The sequence below is a fragment of the Homo sapiens genome, chromosome 7 (genome assembly GCF_000001405.40).
Source record: "Homo sapiens chromosome 7, GRCh38.p14 Primary Assembly".
Taxonomy (NCBI): Eukaryota; Metazoa; Chordata; class Mammalia; order Primates; family Hominidae; genus Homo; species Homo sapiens.
This window is the reverse complement of record NC_000007.14, coordinates 150,990,369-151,006,278: the sequence shown is the minus strand read 5'-3', so window position 1 is coordinate 151,006,278 and position 15,910 is coordinate 150,990,369. Positions and strand designations below refer to the sequence as shown.

The following is a 15,910-nucleotide window of genomic DNA, read 5'->3' as shown; positions in this document are numbered from 1 at the left end:
TTGAAAAATGACATTACAGAAATGTGTAAAGTGATAAGACAAAGACCACCCCATCTTCCCTCCGGGCATATGCGCCATTGACAGGTGTTAACCTTCCAGCCCTTTTTCCTTGAACTTACGTGCATGTGCATATTTATAGTTTTTTTTTAAGTAAAAGTGGTACCATACTGTACTTCCTTGGTTTTAATCAATAATTTATTGCAGACATCCCTCCAGGTCAATACAACAATATTGACGTAAGTAGTAGTATTGTTTTTAGATATGGGTCTTGCTCTGTCGCCCAGGTTGGGGTGCAGTGGCTCCATCATCATTCACTGTAACCTCAGACTCCTGGGCTTAAGGGATTTTTCTGCCTTCCTAGTAGCTAGATCTATAGGTGCGTGCCACCACTCTTGGTTAATTTTTAAATTTTCTGAAGAGATGGAGTCTCGCTGTGTTGTTCAGTCTGGCCTTGAACTCCTGGGCTCAAGCGATCCTCCGGCCTGGACTTTCCAAAACATGACCTCAGTCTTTTTAGTGGCTACATTGTACTTCACTGAGACTGAAGGGCAGCTCGGTGGTCTGGGAACAGGTGCTCTCTCAAACGCCCTTGTACGTGTGCCTTGCTCCCACTTTTAAATGCTTCAGCTGGGTAATCCTTAGAAGTGGAGTTGCTGAATCCCCACTTGTTGGGGCAGGCAGATCGTCCTCGCAGCTGCAGGGGAGGGCACAGCTCTTTCCTCACTCCTGGCTAACAACGGCTAGAGCAAAATCTTTCCTGTTTTAGTGGATTTCATGGGTGGACAAACTCTCAGTTCCTTCAGCAGTGTCCTGGTCACTAGCAGACATTGTGCAGGTTGCCCTCCTCAGAAGACCATGGCCTTGTTTGTGCTGCCATGAAGAAGTGGCATCAAGCGGACCTCCCAGGGGGAAGGAAGCTGGAAGGAACTGCATCTGGTGCTCAACTGCAGATGCCTCTGGGTGCTGGTTCCCAAGTGCGCCAGAGTTAGCAAGAACGATTTGAATTTCATTTTTGAATGTTTTGTCAACGTGCAACACAAGTCCAGAGGTGCACACATGTTGTAAATGTACAACTCTGTAAGTTTTCACAAACTGAACACACCTGTGCAACCAGCATCCCATCGAGAAACATTACCCGTGGCTGGGCGTGGTGGCTCACGCCTGTAATCCCAGCACTTTGGGAGGCTGAGGTCAGGGATTCAAGACCAGCCTGGCCAACATGGTGAAACCGCGTCTCTACTAAAAACACAAAAATTAGCTGGCCATGGTGGCGGGCACCTGTAATCCCAGCTACTCGGGAGGCTGAGGCAGGAGAATCGCTTGAACCGGGGAGGCGGAGGTTGCAGTGAGCCGAGATCACGCCATTGCACTCCAGCCTGGGCAACAGAGTGAGACTCCAGCTCAAAAACAAAAACAAACAAACAAACAAACAAACAAACATTACCCGCATCCTAGAAGCCAACTTCGTGCCTTCTTCCTGTCACTGCCACCCCCATCCCAGTGACTAACTCCTCTCCTAATTTCTAACTCCGTGGATTAGTTCTGCCTGTTTCTGAACTTTATATAAAGTGAACCCTGTAGTACAGTATGTATTCTTTGGTCTGGCTTTTTCTTCTCTTCACATTTTTTGAGATTCACCTGCACTGTTGTGTGTGGTTGTGTTTCGTTCACACTTAGTGCGATATGGCACTTGAATATACCACAATTTATCAGTATTTGTCGATGGTCATTTGAATTGTTTCCAGTGTGGGGTATTACAAACAAATTTGCTATAAATATTCCTTATTTTTAGTGAATATACCCCATTTTCTGTGAGCTGTATTCCTAGATTTGTTAAAAATTTGGGATAAAATTAACATACATTGAACTGCACAGATGTTAAAGGGCAGTTTAATTTGCTTTGCTGTTTGACAGTTTTATTTTATTTATTTGTATTTTATTTTAAGTAGAATTCTTGCTCTGTCACCCAGGCTGGAGTGCAGTGGCGTGATCTCGGCTCACTGCAACCTCCACCTCCCAGGTTCAAGCAATTCTCCCGCCTAGCCTCCTGAGTAGCTAGGACTATAGGCGTGCGCCACCATGCCCAGCTAATTTTTGTATTTTTAGTAGAGACAGGGTTTTGCCATGTTGGCCAGGCTGGTCTTGAGCTTCTGACCTCAAGTGATCCACCCACCTGGGCCTCCCAAAGTGCTGGGATCACAGGCGTGAGCCACCGCGCCTGGCCTGGCAGTTTTATTTTTTAAAAAAGTGAAAGATTAAACATGCATCTACCCTATGACCTACCAATTCTACTCCTAGGTATTTACCCAAGAGAAATAAAAACATAAGCCCACAAAAGCCGGGTACAAGAATGTTCATAACAGGTTTATTCATAATAGCCCCGACCTGGAAACAGCCCAAGTGTCACCAACAAGAGAATGGGTAAACAAACTGGGGATATTCACACAATGAACGGCACTCAGCAGCAGAATGAGTGAAATACTGAGTCACGCAGCAACACGAGTGCGCCTCAAAAACAGCCTCAGCAGGAGACGCCGCAACACTGCGTGCTTCCATCTAGGTGCCGTTCTAGAGCAGGCGAAACTATTCTGTGGTGACAGACACTTCTGGCAGGGAGACAGACTGGGAAGGGATTCACGTGAGGAACTGATGAGGGAACTTTCCAGGGTGGTGAAAATGTGCTATGCCTTGTGAAGGCTGTAGGTTATATGGGTGTCTATACACCTTTATGCTAAAAAAAAGTCAATTGCTGGTGCTATTTTTCTTGAAAAGGTAGGTCAGAATGAGGGCTGAAACGGACACTAAGGCAGCAAAAAGGGTTTCACGAGATTCCAACTTGCTTAAGATACTGAGGGCCAGGTGCAGTGGCTCACGTCTATAATCGCAGCACTTTGGGAGGCCGAGGCAGGTGGATTGCTTGAACCCAGGAGTTAGAGACCAGCCTGGGCAACATGGCGAAACCCCATCTCTATAAAAAATACAAAAATTAGCTAGGCATCATGGCATGCGCCTGTAGTCCCAACTACTTGGGAGGTTGAAGTGGGAGGATTGCTTGAGTCTAGGAGGTTGAGGCTGCAGTGAGCCGTGATTGTACTACTGCACTCCAGCCTGGGCCACAAAGTGAGACCCTGTCTCAAAGGAAAAAAGAAAAAAGAGTACTGAGGAAGTACTTAGTGCTAATAAGGCCTTTAACACCTAGAAGCTGGAGCAGGTAAGACTCAGAAATGAGCCTAGCCTGGGGCACCTCAGAGATACCTAAGCTTGCAAGAGAAGGAATTCAATGATGGTACTCTAGCTTTGTGTTTCTTTTTAAAAAGTGAAGTTATTTAATCTATGTTGGCATCTAAACAGCGCTCAATTTCTTCTTTTGAAAAAGGAGCCTGCGGCAGGAGGATCTCTTGAGGCTAGGAGTTCAAGGCCAGCCTGGGCAACGTAAATAGGTTCTCAAAATAAATAAAACAAATAAAATAAAATGCTGGAATAGTGTTGCACATGTTGTAAATGTACAGCTCTGTGGATTTTTACAAACTGAACACACCTGTGTAACCAGTATCCCATTAAGAAACATTACCCGCATCCTAGAAGCCGCCCTCAGTGACGTATCCCTGTTTTTCTTGTCAGTGCCCGAGCACAGTCTAACCTCTTGGTCAGCCAGGATGTGCCTTCCTTGTATTAAAAACTTGCACTGATAATGGAAATGACTTGGGGACGCGCAGTTAAGCAAATGTGCTTGCAGGGAGGCAGCCACATGGGTGGGCTGGGAGCGTAGCTTGTGTGGGGTTTCAGGCTCCAGGGGTCTCTTAGCATCTCCCTTTCCATCCTGGCGTGTGTGTGTGTGTGTGTGTGTGTGTGTGTGTGTGTGTGTGTGTGTGTGTGTGTGTGTGTGTGTGTGTGTTGGGCAGAGGTTCCTGCCCAGTCACTCCAATTCTGAGTCTCTCCTCATTCCCAGCAGCCCCTTTCCTGGAAGTTCTCACCTCTCCATTCTCCGGGGGATCCCCATTCCCAAATGTGCTGGTTACCACCAGCACCAGCGTCTCGTGTTCGAGGGACACCACGTCATACTCATCCATACACAGGACCTGTGGGTGGGAAGACAGATGTCCTGGGTGCTGTGGCCCCCGGAGGCCCTGCCCTCCTCACTCTGGCCTCCCTGGCAGTGCAAGATTCAGGCCCCAACTTGATCTCTGAACACCTGTGGTTCCGGGTTCCTCATGAGTCCTGACTTGTAACACTTCCTGTCCTCCAGGGCACCCCTGAAGATGCTGATAGAGCCCCCTCTTTCTAGCTCCCTGCTCCCCTGGGCTCAGCCCTACCCGGGGATCAAAAGCCTTCCGGAAGAGTCTCCCCAGCTGCTGTGCGTAGCTCTGGGCCCGGCCGGTCTCGGAGCCATACAGGATTGTCGCCTTCACTCGCTTCGCCATCACCGTGCCCATGAGCGAGGCGGAGATCTTCACGGCGCTGCGGGAGAGGAAGGTGTGAGGGTGTCCTGGGTGCACAGAGGCAGGGCCTCCCCAGGCAAGGGTCCAACCCCCTCACAACAGGGTTTTGGGATACTGAGTGGTAGGCCCAGAACACTGCTGGGGCAGGGTCCCCCAGGGTGTGTGGGGGAGAGTGGGGCCCCCAGGGTGTGTGTGGGAGAGCGGGGCTCCCAGGGGACCCACTTGGCCACTTCTTTAAAGGTCTTCTTCCTGGTGATGCCGGTGCCCTTGGCGGCACTCCCCTTCCAGGGGTCTGGCTGCAGAGAGATGATGGGGTTGGGAGGGGAGGTAAAGAAAAGGAAAGGTTAGAGGTCCCCAGGGGCTGCTTAGAATTAGAGCTGGGCCCAGGCTGGCAGAGCCAGTTAGGGTGGGCACCTGGTAGCGGAAGGCCGGGGACAGGAAATAGTTGACCATCTCCTGATGGAAAACAGGAGTGAGGCTGCCCGAGATGGGGGGCACGATCCAGGCCCAGTCTGCAGGGCAGCCCCCCCTGGCCTTCTGCTCATTCTCCAGGTGCTTCATGAAAGAGGCCGTGGCGGCGTGGTGGTCCACGATGGTGACTTTGGCTAGCTGGAAGGGAGAGAGAGGGGGAGAGGCTCAAACCAGACCCACAGACCTCGCCCATTCTTCCTCCACCACTCCGGTCACCCCAAACCACATGTGCCCTCGATTACCCCATATCTAACACACCCTGTGTCCCCTCAAACCACAATGTCACCCTCACCCCAAACCACATCATGCATGGTCATGCTGCAGGTTCAACATGCAACAAGCAGCTCTAATCTCCAGCATCTGCATGCCTGGTCCCCAAACCAAATAGCCCACAGAAATTCTCAGCAGGCCCCGGCTTCCTCAAACTACGACTCCTGGTGTGCCCTTGATCCTGGTATTTGTTTCCAGGATCCAGCGGGTCCCACAAACTGCAATACCCAATATGCCCTGAGAATCAGCATGACTGGGCATGCAGTAAACAGCAAGGTCCCTGGCACACAGTAAGCCACCAGATGACAGCGCCTGGAATAGTACCTGCCCTGTCCCCGAACCGCAGGCCAGTGTGCGCCATGGCACTGGGACTACGGAACTTCTTCTGCCTGTCCAAATCCTGCCCTAGTTTCTAAATGGCTGCCTCTCCTCCATCCCCCGCCCCTGCTGCCCCCGTATGCAAACCCTTTGCCTTCCTGGCCAGTCTGGGCCTCTGCACCTGGTAACTGTGCAGCACGGCCACGTTGATTTCCACTGCTGCCTTGTCTTTCCACAGGGACGAGGTGGTCCGGGTATCCAGGTCCATGCAGACAGCCACATCCTGGGGCAGAAGGGTGTGTGGCATCGGTAGGGACAGAGGTGATCACGGGGGTGGGGTGGGGAGACTATCTCTGTTTCCCGTACATGGCTGGAAGGAGTGAGGTGAGTGGTGTCCATTGGGAGGCCTGGCTGCCTAGGGGGCTGGTTCAGGTTTTTGCCTGCGAAGGCACCTCAGAGCAGAGAGGGACTTTGGGCCAGTCGCTCCTCAGCTCCAGGCTTTAATTTCTCATCTCTAAAATGGGTCTTAACCTTTGCCGAGTCAAGGTCCCCTTTGAGAATCTGATGAAAGCTCTAGAGCTATGGGTCCTATGCCTGAAAGAACAACTACATGTTCACACCCATCCCCATGCCCCCCTCACCCACCCACTCACACCCACACCCACCCACAAACCCACACACTCACACCCACCCACCCCCACAAACCCACAATTTCACACTCACCGCCTACACACATCCACACTCACACCCACATACCTACACTCTCACACTCGCCCCTACACACCCCACAAACCCACACTCGCCTACCCCTACAAGCCCACACACACCCCCTACACACCCCACAAACCCACACTCACCTACCCCTACAAACTCACACACACTCACCCCTACACACCCCACAAACCCACACTCGCCTACCCCTACAAACTCACACACACTCACCCCTACACACCCCACAAACCCACACTCGCCTACCCCTACAAACCCACACACACTCACCCCTACACACCCCACAAACCCACAGTCACCTACCCCCACAAACCCACAGTCTCACAGTCACTGCCTATACACACCCACAAACCCACACCCACCTACCCCCACACACCCACACTCACCCACCCCTACAAACCCACAGTCTCACACCCACTACACACCCCACAAGCCCACACTCTCACCCACTGCACACCCCAGAAACCCACACTCTCACACTCACCCACTCACACCCCCACACACACCCCTGCCACCCCCTACCCCTTTGCTTCAGTGGTTCTAGAGCTTGTCCTCAGTTCCCATTTAGGAGGCAACCCTGGACCTGCTCTGATTGTCCCCGTGGCTGGCATTTTGGGGATGGAGTGAGAGCCAGACTCCTGCCTTGGACAGGTGCATTCGGTGCCCGAGCCCCATCCCGCACCTCACCTCCAGGATGTTGTAGCGGTGAGGGTCACACAGGTTCCTCGTGCCGATCTCAGTGCTCATGTACCAGCCACTGAAGGGGGCTGCGGGGAACTCCAGGCCCCCAATTTCCAGCAGCATGTTGGACACTGCCGGGAGGGCGTACCAGCGCAGGCCCAGGGCTGCAAACCACTCCAGCCTGGGGGTGTTGGGGTGTGGGATCAGCACCCCCTTGCAGGCCCTTCTTGAGAGGCTCAGGGATGGCCCCCTCCATCCCACCCAGTCAATCCCTTTGGTGCTCACGTGGGGTGCTCCAGGGGCACCTCAAGGACCAGCTCGGGGGGCAGAAGGAAGAGTTCTGGGGGATCATCTGGGGCCTGCAGCAGCAGGGGCAGCACGTCGAAGCGACCGTTTCCTGGGGTCCAGCCGTGCTGAATGCAGAGCTGTGGGGAGTGGGCCAGAGGGGGTTCTGGGGCTGAGCCTCATGCCCTCCTCAGGGACCCCTCCATCCACTGTCTCCTGCCTTCATCTCCAGGGTCCCTCATTGGCTGGGTCTCCGTGACCACCCAGGCACCCCTCCTTTGGTGTTTTTCATCCTTTATCTCACCGAGGCTCCCCTCTTCCTGCCTGGATCCCCCGAGCCTTCTCCCACTGGTTTCCTCATTCTCCACCTTGGGGACACCCTCATGGGTGGCCCTCGGTGCCCACCTCGGTGATCTCCACGTTGGCTGGGTCCCCCCGCACAGAGCCATCCTGCTGCCGGTAGCCCGCGTAGCGCACCAGCTGGCTGTTCCAGATTCGGAAGTCTCCTCGGCCAGGGCAGCGCTGCGGGAACACTGTGATGGCCGAGCTGGCACGCATGGGGAAAGAGCTGGTCAGAGCCCCGCCTTCCCTGCCTTGGGGAAGAAGGCTGGGGCCTGGCATGGTGGGGGGCACTCACCGAAGGTTGCCCCGGTTGGTGGCATACTTGATGTGGTTGCAGATGTAGGTGAACATTTCCTGTGCAGACCTGCAGTCCCGGGCATCGAACACCTGAGCCAGCCGAGGCAGCGGGAGAGGAGGGTGAGGAGAGAGACGGGGGGTCTTGAGTATCAGCTCCAGAGGAGCTGCTGGTGAGGAGGCAGGGGCCATGGTTCACTCCATGGCGCCCTCCTGACCATTGGCAGCCACACTGATCCCTTCCTGCCCTGCTCTCTGACATATGTAGCACCATCCGGGCTGCTTCTCATCTCCTCCCTGGGCCAGGTGTCTCCCCATCCCTATGGAAGCTGACTTGGTATCCAGTACAGAGGAGGGACTCGGCCTCTGCCAAACTGATGCTTGGGTTAGGCACCAACGGATGTCTAAGAGGCCGCCTAGGAGTGTGGGCAGCAAATCCCCCATGATCCATGGCATTCAAGAAAGGACGGGTGATTCTCTTTGAGCACATGGATGGTGGGAAGGGAAGGCTGCACCAGAGGCCTCCTAGGACCCTGCTCATCCTGACATTCTGAGTGGAGGCCCCAGGAGGAGGCTGGGAGGTCCCACTCCTGCCTGAGGGAGGAGGAAACATGTGTCAGTGACAGGGGCAGGGGAGTGGCAGGGACCAACCTGGGGTCAAGGGAGGGACGCAGCTCTGAGTGGGGTCCACTATGGCAGCTCAGATGGATCGAAGTTGAGCTAAAGCTTTGAATGACTTAGAGGGTCAGGCAAGTGTCAGATAGGATTGTTTTTATTTTAGTTGAGGTTCCTTTGGGATTCACTGGGCACGTGGCTTTATTTCAAACTCTTTGGCGGCCAGTGATGGTGAAGGAGGCCAAGGCCATGGGACCAAGTCCCCCATGGGGCAGCTTGCTTCTCTTAGTGCTGTGGTCACAGGCGTTCCAGTAACTAAGGCCAGCCCCGAGTCTGTGGGCTGGGGTGTGAGGGAGGGTGCGGGCCGAAGCAGGGGAACTGGGGTAGCAGTGGGTGTGGGTGAGGGGCTGCACTGGACTGGCCTGGCGGGAGAAGCCTTCTCTCTTGGGGGAGAAGCAGCAGCCAGGGCTTTTCCAGGAGGCTGCTCCTGCTACTGACAGCACCGCCCAGGGAAGCTCCGCTCAGCTGTCCTCACCCCCGCAGCAGGTCTAGACTTCCTCACCCCCGCAGCAGGTCTAGACTTCCTCACCCCTGCAGCAGGTCTAGACTTCCTCACCCCTGCAGCAGGTCTAGACTTCCTCACCCCTGCAGCAGGTCTAGACTTCTTTCCCCTCCTCCAGCCAAGGCACTACCATAGGGCCTGATAACCAGGTCTTCACTACTGGGCTGAGGTTCCCCTGGGTGCTGAGGGTGGGGCAGTCCCCCTACCTTTCCAGTCTCTAAGGGAAAAGGCAAGGATCTCCCCCACAGTTTGGGACCTCCCAGCCCCCGGGAAGCCTTAGGAACTGCCCCGCCACCCCGCTCCCCTTTTGGTAGCGCCCGGGTCTCTCAGTCGCTGGCCAGCCGCACCTGCAGCTTCCCCCACTGGATCCGGCCCACGCAGCGGGGAGCGTTGCGCCAGGCCTGCTTAGCCCCGAACACCAGCTCGCTCTCCCTAAGCTGGTAGGTGCCTGTGGCTGCCACCTCGGCTTCCACCTCTTGAAGCCGCTGTTCGTGGGCCTGGGAGCCGCTCCTGGGGAGGAGAGGGGTGGGAAGGGGACAAGCAGGAAGTTGTGTGGGACAGGGAGGCCCTCCTCCAGGCTTTGTGCAAGTGCTGGGGGAGGGCGGGAGGGGCCCACGTGGTGTTAGGATCTGGGAAGGGAGGGGGTCATGGGAAGGTCGTCACGGGGTTTCTGGGGCCTCAGTGGGACAAGGGAGGCTGTGGCGTCCGGGAAGCTGTCACCTCTTAATGGAGCTGTAGTACTGGTTGATGAAGTCCCGGGCCTGACTCAGCAGCTGCTCAGGGGCCGGGGGGCCGGGGGAGGGCCGGCCCTGTAGTTTCCGTGGAAATACCAGGGAGCCCAGGCAGCGTCTTGGGGTGCAGGGCCCATCCTGGGTCGAGGGAGTGCAAAGGTCAGGACAGGCCAGGGTGCAGGGGTGGGATGGGAGTTGGGGGCAGGGAGGAGGGGTGCAGGGGTGGAACAGGGGGAGAGGGAGGAGGGGTGCAGTGGTGGGATGGGGGAGAGGGAAGAAGGGTGCAGGGGTGGGATGGGTGAGAGGGAGGAGAAGTGCAGGGGTGGGACGGGGAGAAGGAGGAAGGGTACAGGGGTGGGAGAGGGGAGAGGGAGGAGGGGTGCAGAGGTGGGATGGGGAGAAGGAGGAGGGGTGCAGGGGTGGGGTAGGGGCAGAGGGAGGAGGGGTGCAGGGGTGGGATGGGGAGAAGGAGGAGGGGTGCAGAGGTGGGGTAGGGGCAGAGGGAGGAGGGGTGCAGGGGTGGGATGGGAGCAGAGGGAGGAGGGGTGCAGGGATGGGACGGGGAGAGGGAGGAAGGGTGCAGGGATGGGACGGGGAGAGGGAGGAAGGGTGCAGGGATGGGACAGGGGAGAGGGAGGAGGGGTTTAGGGGTGGGATGGGGGAGAGGGAGGAGGGGTGTAGGGGTGGGACGGGGCAGAGGGAGGAGGGATGCAGGGGTGGGACGGGGGAGAGGGAGGAGGGGTGCAGGGGTGGGTCGGGGCAGAGGGAGGAGGGGGTGCAGGGGTGGAATGGGGCAGAGGGAGGAGGGGTGTAGGGGTGGGACGCTGGAGAGGGCGGGAGTGCAGGGTGGGACGGGGAGAGGGAGGAGGGGTGCAGGGGTGGGAGAGGGAAGAGGGGTGCAGGGGTGAGATGGGGAGAGGGAGGAGGAATGCAGGCAGGGGACGGGGGGAGAGGGAGGAAGGGTGCAGGGGTGGGAGGGGGGAAAGGGGTGCAGGGGTGGGATGGGGGAGAGTTTGAGCCAGGGTTGGGGGTAAGGCTGGAGGCTGAGGGTCACCCAAGTCCCGTGCATGTCCCTCAACTCCTCTGGTTCTTCCCAGTCCTCTCCTCTTTTTGGAAACAAGGGACCAATTCAAAGAAGGGTTGAGCTTCCCTCTCCGGCCCCATCTGAGGCCAGGCCTTACCCACCCTTTCCCTGGAGACGATGGGGACAGGGCATGCCGGCCTTACCTGCTGCGCCTGGGCGCTGAGGGTGTCATAGGTGATGCTCCCCACCTCCCAGTTCTTCACACGAGGGAACTTGGGCCCCTCTGGGGGCTGGGTTAGCGGGGAGCTCGGGGGGCTGTTGGGAGCCAGGGATAGGGTCATCAGGAAGGGTTTGTTTCCTTTCAGCCTTCCCAGATGTCACCCGGAGGCCCCTGTTACAGCACTGGCGATCTCACAGCCCACCTGCCGCATGCCTTCTGGCGTTCCCCATGCCTTAGGAGCTAGAGGCGAGCTGTGCCTCCGTTTATAGACCAGGGTCCTGGGCTGCAGGGGCTGCTGGTGCTGAGCTCCTGAGCCCCTGACCCGAGGCTAAGTTCGCATCCCACCTGCAGCGCCCACCTCACCTCTTCTGGAGATGGGGTGTCCACCCCCCGCAAAGCTGCTATAAGCCCTACCCTGAGGGGGACAGAGCCTGGTGCTTGAGTGGAGGGAAGCCCTGCAGGGATTCCTCAGCTCTGATTTCCCTCCGCACTCACAACCCCTCCTGACAGCAGCCCCATGTGTGAAGGGAAGCCTCGCAGGCCTTATCACTTCCTCCCAGAGCCACCAGCGGCAGGGAGGAAGGGAGGGACTCAGGCCAAGGGTGCGCCTGAGCAGCAGGGCCCCGGCCCTCAGCCTTCCCTGCATAGCTGCCTGCAGCCCCAGCCTGCCCCCGGCCTGGCACCCCACCAGGCCTCCGGGTCTTTCCTCCCTCCTGGGACCTCTACCCCCGGGAGGACTCTTGTGGGAACTGCATGGTCCAGTTTTCGGGTGACAGCCACGAGGAGAGGGGGCTGGAGCAGGGGAAAAAAGCCTGGTGGCTCTGTCTTCTCAGCCTGCTTACCCCAAGGGCCCGAGTTTCCTGCCCAACTCTCTCCCTCTTCTGGGAGACCCCACTTTCTCACTCCTGTAACCACTGCTGTCAGCTCCTTTCTTCTCCAGCTAAATAATCATCGCTGCTGTTGAAGGCTTGCTGTGAGCTAGAAACTTACTTCCCCATGGAGTAAGTATTGCCATATCTCGTTTTATATAAATGGAGGTTCAGAGAGATTAAGTAACTTGCTCAAAGTCAAACAGCTCCTGGCGGCAGAGCAGCATTCAAACCCTGGCCAGATTCTATAGCTGGCACCCTTACTCCCAGCTTTCACCTGCCGACTCTGATCCTGGTCTCCTTTCTGAGCCTCCCAGACTGTCCTGTTCTATGCACATTAATAGCCCTTTTGCATTTGTGACCTGGCCCTCCCGACTCAGCTACAAGTTCCAGACCTTCCCAGCCCCAGGCTTCAGGCCTTGACACCACCCTTGTTGCCCACCTGCTCCTAGCTGCCTGGCCCTTACCTGTGTTCTGGCGCTGGTGGGAGTAGGGATGCTGGGGCCCGGCTGGGCTCAGGGGCCGGGGTGGCTGGGCCCTGCTTGCCGCACAGCCCAAGGCCCAGCCCCAGCCCCAGGCCGCAGGGTGGCCCAGGCTCCTGGGCCACGCTCTTCAAGTTGCCCATGTTACTGTGCGTCCACTCTGCTGCCTGCTCCAGCAGAGCCCTGGCCTTTTCCTTAGGAAGAGGGAGGGGACCGAGAGGAGGGGGCAGTGGGAGGGGGCTCTCCAGTGCTGGCCCTCGCCCCGCCCCTATCCCATACACAATGGGACAGGAACAAGCCCGGCTGGGAGGCTCTAAAGCCTCAGCTCCACGCCCGCTGGCCTGAAGGGTGGGGGGCCGGACGCCTGGGTTCCGCTGTGAGGACTGAGGCTGATAAGTGGGAGCCCAGGTGTCCAGCAGAGCCCTGGGGCTGCAGCATGGGGGCTGGGGCATTGGGGAGTGGCAGGGTAGAGCCACCAGGGGGTCATAAAGGTCCTTCTGTGATGTGGCACCAGACGGAAGGGCCTTCGGCCTCACCCCTGTGTGCCTTTCCCTGGAGGGTTGGGCAGAAGGTGAGCACCGTTTCTGTAGCAGGGGATGGCAGCCCACACTCTCAGTGACCACAGGGACCTCTAGGGTCATGCAGGTTCTCTCCTTCACCTCCCCCCATACATACAAGAACTCCTGGATCCCCACCCTTGAGTCCTTTTGGGTTCTTGGGGATAGAGGCCCAGCAAGGATGTAGTGACTTTTTGTCCTTGAGTCTGACATTAGGGTATCCCTTCCCCTCCCAGCCCCAATTTCCTGGAACCCCCACACCCCCATGACTCAAGTGGGGGACACAAAAGAGCAGGAAGCTGCCTTCCAGTGCCTCCACCCCCACCCTGTCATTCAGTGACGCACGCTTCCCGGGGCCGCAGGTCAGCAGAGAGACTAGGGCTGAGGCAGGGTCAGCCGGCCAGGGAAGAGCTTGATGCCCTGGTGGGAGCATGGGGGACTAGGGAAACTACAGTTCCCAGAATGCAGGTGGGGTACACCAGCACTCTCCAGGCACTTCAGGCCAGAGTGCATGCTGGGGTTTGTAGTTCTGTGCCATCTGAGGGGCTGGAGAAAGGCCACTAGCTGGGCATCTGGTCCACAGGGGTCGAAGCCTCGTGATTTCGAGACCTCAGAGACTGAGAGAAAGTTTAAGAAAGAAACGGAAGCTGAGAGACTGGGAGAGGCAGAGACTAGGAGCAGCAGACAGACAGACAAACAAACAAGAGGATTTGTGTTGGCCAGACTCCTCTGAAAAGCAGTGGAGGATAAGGTTGGGGTGGGCCTGGGTGGGGGGCCGGCAGGCGGAAGGAACGGGCTGTGCTCAGAGCTCTGGGGTCACACCAAGAAGGTGGGGTCTGCCAGTTTTGGAGGATGGAGGGTGAAGGGGCCTCATAAGCTGCTCCTGGACACTAGTGTGCCCTGCTGCCCCTGTCTCAGGAGGAGGGAGATGGAAGGGCGGCATTCAGCCTGGGCTTTGTCCCATGACCCCAAGCCTGAGGCCCCACCACACCCCACCACCTCGCCTTCCCAGTGAGGCAGGGGATGGGATCCAGCCCCTACTTTTCAGGCATCTTCTACCATGCTGGAGGAGACAACAGATCCCAAGTCTGGCTTCCATATTAAGCCACCATTTGAAATGTGCATGACCAAGGATGACTCATTTTCCTAGGTCCCAGTTAATGGAGCTGTGACTGGCATCCTCAGGGTCAAGGTGACAGGCAGCATCAGATGCTGACATCCTTCTGTCTTTTTTTTTTTTTTAGACAGAGTCTTGCTCTGTCACCCAGGCTGGAGTGCAGTGGTGTGATCTTGGTTCATTGCAACCTCTGCCTCCCGGAGTGATTCTCATGCCTCAGCCTCCCGAGGACGACAGGCACCCACCACCACGCCTGGCTAATTTTTTTTTTTTTTTGAGACAGAGTCTCGCTTTTGTTGTCCAGGCTGGAATGCAATGGTGCTATCTCAGCTCACTGTAACCTCCGCCTCCTGGGTTCAAGCGATTCTCCTGACCCAGCCTCCTGAGTAGCTGAGATTACAGGTACCCACCACCACGCCCGGCTAATTTTTATAATTTTATTAGAGACAGGGTTTCACCATGTTGACCAGGCTGGTCTCGAACTCCTGACCTCAGGTGATCCACCTGCCTCGACCTCCCAATGGGCTGGGATTCCAGGTGTGAGCCACCATGGATGGCCATTGTCTTCTTGCCTGCACCACTGGCTGTGGCCCGTCCCTGTGGCCACCTGACCCCTCCCAGGCCTTCCAGTCCCATCTGGGCTCCACACTCTGCTAGATTCTTCTGGAAAGCAGGGCTTACCTTACGCTTTGGCACTACCCAAAACCCTCAGCCAAGAACAAAGCCACTCCAGCACATTGGCCTGGCCCTCATTTTCCTTGGTGCACTGCTTGAATCCTCTGTTCTAGACAAATGGGCTTTCTCGTGTCTCCCTAATGGTCCTGTGCTTCCCTGCCCCTGGGCCGCTGCTGTGCTGTTCCCTCCACCTCTCCCTTCCGCCTCTGACAAATGAAAATCTTTTTCTTCCTTGAGGCCCAGCCTGGGCAGCTCTGGAGGTGCACCACCCAGGCCTCCCTCTTAGAGAGCAGGTACCTGCTGCAGAAGGTGCTGGTGGCTGACAGCTTCCAGATGCCAGCCTTCAGTCCAAGGCCATGTGCTTCCCTGGAGTCTTGTGTAGGATATAATAAATTCCTCTTCTAAGGTTTTAGCCTGTAAATTAAGTACAATGAGTTCTGAGATCCTCTCCAAAGATCCAATGCATCAGTATGTTCAGCTTTGTTCTTCATCTTAAAGTTTAACTTTCATGTTCTCTTCGTCTCCTTGCCCCTAGTTTCAGTAAACAACCCCCTCCTAGCTTCTATCACCTGCTCCGAACTGAGTCACCACTGGTCACCTGCTCTGACCTGAGTCATCCTGAGTCACCTGTTCTGTGACCGTCCTTCCTGCCAAACTACTTACCCTGCCAATCCGGCTCTTACCCCTGCTCTCTTTAAAATAGCCAGTAACAATTAGCTCAGACGGTGTGGTCCAACCCTAGCCAATAGGGGAACAACACAGCTGTAGGGGCTACCTGCCTTAGGGATAAAAACCCCTTCCCTTCCCTTGTTCAGGTGTGCTCTTGCCATTGCTCCATCTGTGAGATGCACCCTTCTATAGAAGTAAAATTGCCTTGCTGGGAACATTTATATCTGAGTGCTATTTCTTTTGTGGCACCGAAAATTTATTTCTAACACTTAGACAGTAACTGAGCCCCGGGGCGTCTGTGGGCGTAACATCCCCCGCTGGGCTGATGTGAGGCCCTTCTTCTTCTTCCCTCCTCTGCAGGTGTGAGCCTGGCATTGTGGGCCTGATCCTTCCCCTGCCCAACTCACTCCTGCTCCCGGTCCCTGTTATCTTTCTCAGGCATTGCCCGCAGTATTCCTCTTATGCTTCCAACTCCTGGGACTCTGCTTCCTGAAGGACCCAACCAACACAGTCGCAGGATGACTCCTCTGTGAGGTCTTCCTTACGTCCCCTTCTCCATG

At 56.4% G+C, this 15,910-nt stretch overlaps 1 protein-coding gene across 4 annotated transcripts in view, besides 35 other annotated features; it reads right to left on the bottom strand.

Moving 5' to 3' along the window:
- NOS3 (nitric oxide synthase 3) overlaps positions 1 to 15,262 on the bottom strand; it is a 23,572-nt gene extending 8,310 nt beyond the window's left edge. The window contains exons 1-14 of one of the 4 annotated variants that reach the window (NM_000603.5): positions 14,979 to 15,262; positions 12,318 to 12,526; positions 10,965 to 11,076; positions 9,727 to 9,875; positions 9,354 to 9,516; positions 7,831 to 7,922; positions 7,599 to 7,740; positions 7,194 to 7,333; positions 6,915 to 7,089; positions 5,680 to 5,781; positions 4,854 to 5,048; positions 4,662 to 4,735; positions 4,314 to 4,458; positions 3,975 to 4,079 (exon numbers count right to left, since the gene is read on the bottom strand). In NM_000603.5, coding sequence (NP_000594.2) covers positions 3,975 to 4,079; positions 4,314 to 4,458; positions 4,662 to 4,735; positions 4,854 to 5,048; positions 5,680 to 5,781; positions 6,915 to 7,089; positions 7,194 to 7,333; positions 7,599 to 7,740; positions 7,831 to 7,922; positions 9,354 to 9,516; positions 9,727 to 9,875; positions 10,965 to 11,076; positions 12,318 to 12,475 — 1,752 coding nt within the window. In that variant the 5' untranslated portion in view covers positions 12,476 to 12,526; positions 14,979 to 15,262. Of the gene's footprint in view, positions 1 to 2,338; positions 3,129 to 3,974; positions 4,080 to 4,313; positions 4,459 to 4,661; positions 4,736 to 4,853; positions 5,049 to 5,679; positions 5,782 to 6,914; positions 7,090 to 7,193; positions 7,334 to 7,598; positions 7,741 to 7,830; positions 7,923 to 9,353; positions 9,517 to 9,726; positions 9,876 to 10,964; positions 11,077 to 12,317; positions 12,527 to 14,978 lie in introns of those variants that run through there. The other 3 variants (NM_001160109.2, NM_001160111.1, NM_001160110.1) reach the window with 3 other exon arrangements.
- Positions 3,838 to 5,037: an enhancer, noted in NCBI's record as "CDK7 strongly-dependent group 2 enhancer chr7:150698330-150699529 (GRCh37/hg19 assembly coordinates)". NCBI's record gives its function as "activates an origin of replication core promoter dependent on BRD2, BRD4, P300/CBP, MED14 and CDK7 cofactors, with strong dependence on CDK7, by STARR-seq in HCT116 cells {active_cell/tissue: HCT116}" and the evidence as "EXISTENCE:reporter gene assay evidence [ECO:0000049][PMID:35650434]".
- Positions 4,060 to 4,560: an enhancer, noted in NCBI's record as "H3K4me1 hESC enhancer chr7:150698807-150699307 (GRCh37/hg19 assembly coordinates)". NCBI's record gives its function as "activates a minimal SCP1, AML or CMV promoter by ChIP-STARR-seq in primed H9 embryonic stem cells {active_cell/tissue: H9 hESC(primed)}" and the evidence as "EXISTENCE:reporter gene assay evidence [ECO:0000049][PMID:30033119]".
- Positions 5,891 to 6,053: a silencer, noted in NCBI's record as "fragment chr7:150697314-150697476 (GRCh37/hg19 assembly coordinates)". NCBI's record gives its function as "represses an EF-1alpha promoter that drives an FKBP-Casp9 reporter gene in an ReSE screen in K562 erythroleukemia cells {active_cell/tissue: K562}" and the evidence as "EXISTENCE:reporter gene assay evidence [ECO:0000049][PMID:32094911]".
- Positions 11,902 to 12,620: an enhancer, noted in NCBI's record as "H3K27ac-H3K4me1 hESC enhancer chr7:150690747-150691465 (GRCh37/hg19 assembly coordinates)". NCBI's record gives its function as "activates a minimal SCP1, AML or CMV promoter by ChIP-STARR-seq in naive H9 embryonic stem cells {active_cell/tissue: H9 hESC(naive)}" and the evidence as "EXISTENCE:reporter gene assay evidence [ECO:0000049][PMID:30033119]".
- Positions 11,902 to 15,910: part of a biological region, named in NCBI's record as "NOS3 5' regulatory region", that runs on past the window's edge. NCBI's record gives its function as "regulatory_interactions: NOS3".
- Positions 12,150 to 12,950: a DNaseI hypersensitive site, noted in NCBI's record as "HS3; the nucleotide coordinates are approximate for this feature". NCBI's record gives the evidence for it as "EXISTENCE:in vivo cleavage assay evidence [ECO:0001075][PMID:11013235]".
- Positions 12,476 to 12,697: a promoter, noted in NCBI's record as "-198/+22 core promoter". NCBI's record gives the evidence for it as "EXISTENCE:reporter gene assay evidence [ECO:0000049][PMID:7544127]".
- Positions 12,476 to 13,533: a promoter, noted in NCBI's record as "-1033/+22 promoter". NCBI's record gives the evidence for it as "EXISTENCE:reporter gene assay evidence [ECO:0000049][PMID:7541039]".
- Positions 12,498 to 14,100: a promoter, noted in NCBI's record as "1.6 kb promoter construct". NCBI's record gives its function as "drives expression in cardiac myocytes, skeletal myocytes, brain astrocytes" and the evidence as "EXISTENCE:transgenic organism evidence [ECO:0001131][PMID:10079100]".
- Positions 12,538 to 12,544: a transcriptional cis regulatory region, noted in NCBI's record as "CCCCTCC repeat". NCBI's record gives its function as "contributes to promoter activity" and the evidence as "EXISTENCE:site-directed mutagenesis evidence [ECO:0005528][PMID:15061658]".
- Positions 12,552 to 12,558: a transcriptional cis regulatory region, noted in NCBI's record as "CCCCTCC repeat". NCBI's record gives its function as "contributes to promoter activity" and the evidence as "EXISTENCE:site-directed mutagenesis evidence [ECO:0005528][PMID:15061658]".
- Positions 12,565 to 12,571: a transcriptional cis regulatory region, noted in NCBI's record as "CCCCTCC repeat". NCBI's record gives its function as "contributes to promoter activity" and the evidence as "EXISTENCE:site-directed mutagenesis evidence [ECO:0005528][PMID:15061658]".
- Positions 12,588 to 12,606: a protein binding site, noted in NCBI's record as "Sp1 site". NCBI's record gives its function as "positive regulation of promoter activity" and the evidence as "EXISTENCE:protein binding evidence [ECO:0000024][PMID:7541039, PMID:7488171, PMID:9915847]".
- Positions 12,588 to 12,617: a protein binding site, noted in NCBI's record as "-120/-91 PRD1 site". NCBI's record gives the evidence for it as "EXISTENCE:protein binding evidence [ECO:0000024][PMID:9915847]".
- Positions 12,602 to 12,608: a transcriptional cis regulatory region, noted in NCBI's record as "GRE-110". NCBI's record gives its function as "mediates negative regulation by cortisol" and the evidence as "EXISTENCE:site-directed mutagenesis evidence [ECO:0005528][PMID:18716005]".
- Positions 12,608 to 12,641: a protein binding site, noted in NCBI's record as "PRDII site". NCBI's record gives the evidence for it as "EXISTENCE:protein binding evidence [ECO:0000024][PMID:9915847]".
- Positions 12,615 to 12,640: a protein binding site, noted in NCBI's record as "proximal FHRE". NCBI's record gives the evidence for it as "EXISTENCE:protein binding evidence [ECO:0000024][PMID:23583951]".
- Positions 12,617 to 12,641: a protein binding site, noted in NCBI's record as "PRDII site". NCBI's record gives the evidence for it as "EXISTENCE:protein binding evidence [ECO:0000024][PMID:9915847]".
- Positions 12,617 to 12,641: a protein binding site, noted in NCBI's record as "PRDII site". NCBI's record gives the evidence for it as "EXISTENCE:protein binding evidence [ECO:0000024][PMID:9915847]".
- Positions 12,617 to 12,652: a protein binding site, noted in NCBI's record as "PRDII site". NCBI's record gives the evidence for it as "EXISTENCE:protein binding evidence [ECO:0000024][PMID:9915847]".
- Positions 12,715 to 12,736: a protein binding site, noted in NCBI's record as "GATA site". NCBI's record gives the evidence for it as "EXISTENCE:protein binding evidence [ECO:0000024][PMID:7541039, PMID:10713142, PMID:14555463]".
- Positions 12,858 to 12,878: a protein binding site, noted in NCBI's record as "-370 CACCC". NCBI's record gives the evidence for it as "EXISTENCE:protein binding evidence [ECO:0000024][PMID:14555463]".
- Positions 13,007 to 13,013: a transcriptional cis regulatory region, noted in NCBI's record as "GRE-516". NCBI's record gives its function as "contributes to promoter activity" and the evidence as "EXISTENCE:site-directed mutagenesis evidence [ECO:0005528][PMID:18716005]".
- Positions 13,085 to 13,115: a protein binding site, noted in NCBI's record as "CRE2". NCBI's record gives the evidence for it as "EXISTENCE:protein binding evidence [ECO:0000024][PMID:12919953]".
- Positions 13,149 to 13,178: a protein binding site, noted in NCBI's record as "AP-1/2 site (PMID:11382920)". NCBI's record gives the evidence for it as "EXISTENCE:protein binding evidence [ECO:0000024][PMID:18556800]".
- Positions 13,215 to 13,245: a protein binding site, noted in NCBI's record as "CRE1". NCBI's record gives the evidence for it as "EXISTENCE:protein binding evidence [ECO:0000024][PMID:12919953]".
- Positions 13,273 to 13,303: a silencer, noted in NCBI's record as "eNOSM1; negative regulation with C allele at rs2070744". NCBI's record gives the evidence for it as "EXISTENCE:reporter gene assay evidence [ECO:0000049][PMID:11063722]".
- Positions 13,273 to 13,303: a protein binding site, noted in NCBI's record as "eNOSM1; binds with C allele at rs2070744". NCBI's record gives the evidence for it as "EXISTENCE:protein binding evidence [ECO:0000024][PMID:11063722]".
- Positions 13,338 to 13,358: a protein binding site, noted in NCBI's record as "STAT3 site". NCBI's record gives the evidence for it as "EXISTENCE:protein binding evidence [ECO:0000024][PMID:12857749]".
- Positions 13,470 to 13,506: a protein binding site, noted in NCBI's record as "shear stress response element". NCBI's record gives its function as "mediates induction by shear stress" and the evidence as "EXISTENCE:protein binding evidence [ECO:0000024][PMID:14570928]".
- Positions 14,020 to 14,040: a transcriptional cis regulatory region, noted in NCBI's record as "AP-1/1 site (PMID:11382920)". NCBI's record gives its function as "positive regulation of promoter" and the evidence as "EXISTENCE:site-directed mutagenesis evidence [ECO:0005528][PMID:16453281]".
- Positions 14,107 to 14,907: a DNaseI hypersensitive site, noted in NCBI's record as "HS2; the nucleotide coordinates are approximate for this feature". NCBI's record gives the evidence for it as "EXISTENCE:in vivo cleavage assay evidence [ECO:0001075][PMID:11013235]".
- Positions 15,042 to 15,910: a promoter, noted in NCBI's record as "LTR10A placental promoter". NCBI's record gives its function as "bidirectional promoter" and the evidence as "EXISTENCE:reporter gene assay evidence [ECO:0000049][PMID:18474398]".
- Positions 15,103 to 15,604: a mobile genetic element.
- Positions 15,212 to 15,239: a protein binding site, noted in NCBI's record as "FHRE". NCBI's record gives the evidence for it as "EXISTENCE:protein binding evidence [ECO:0000024][PMID:23583951]".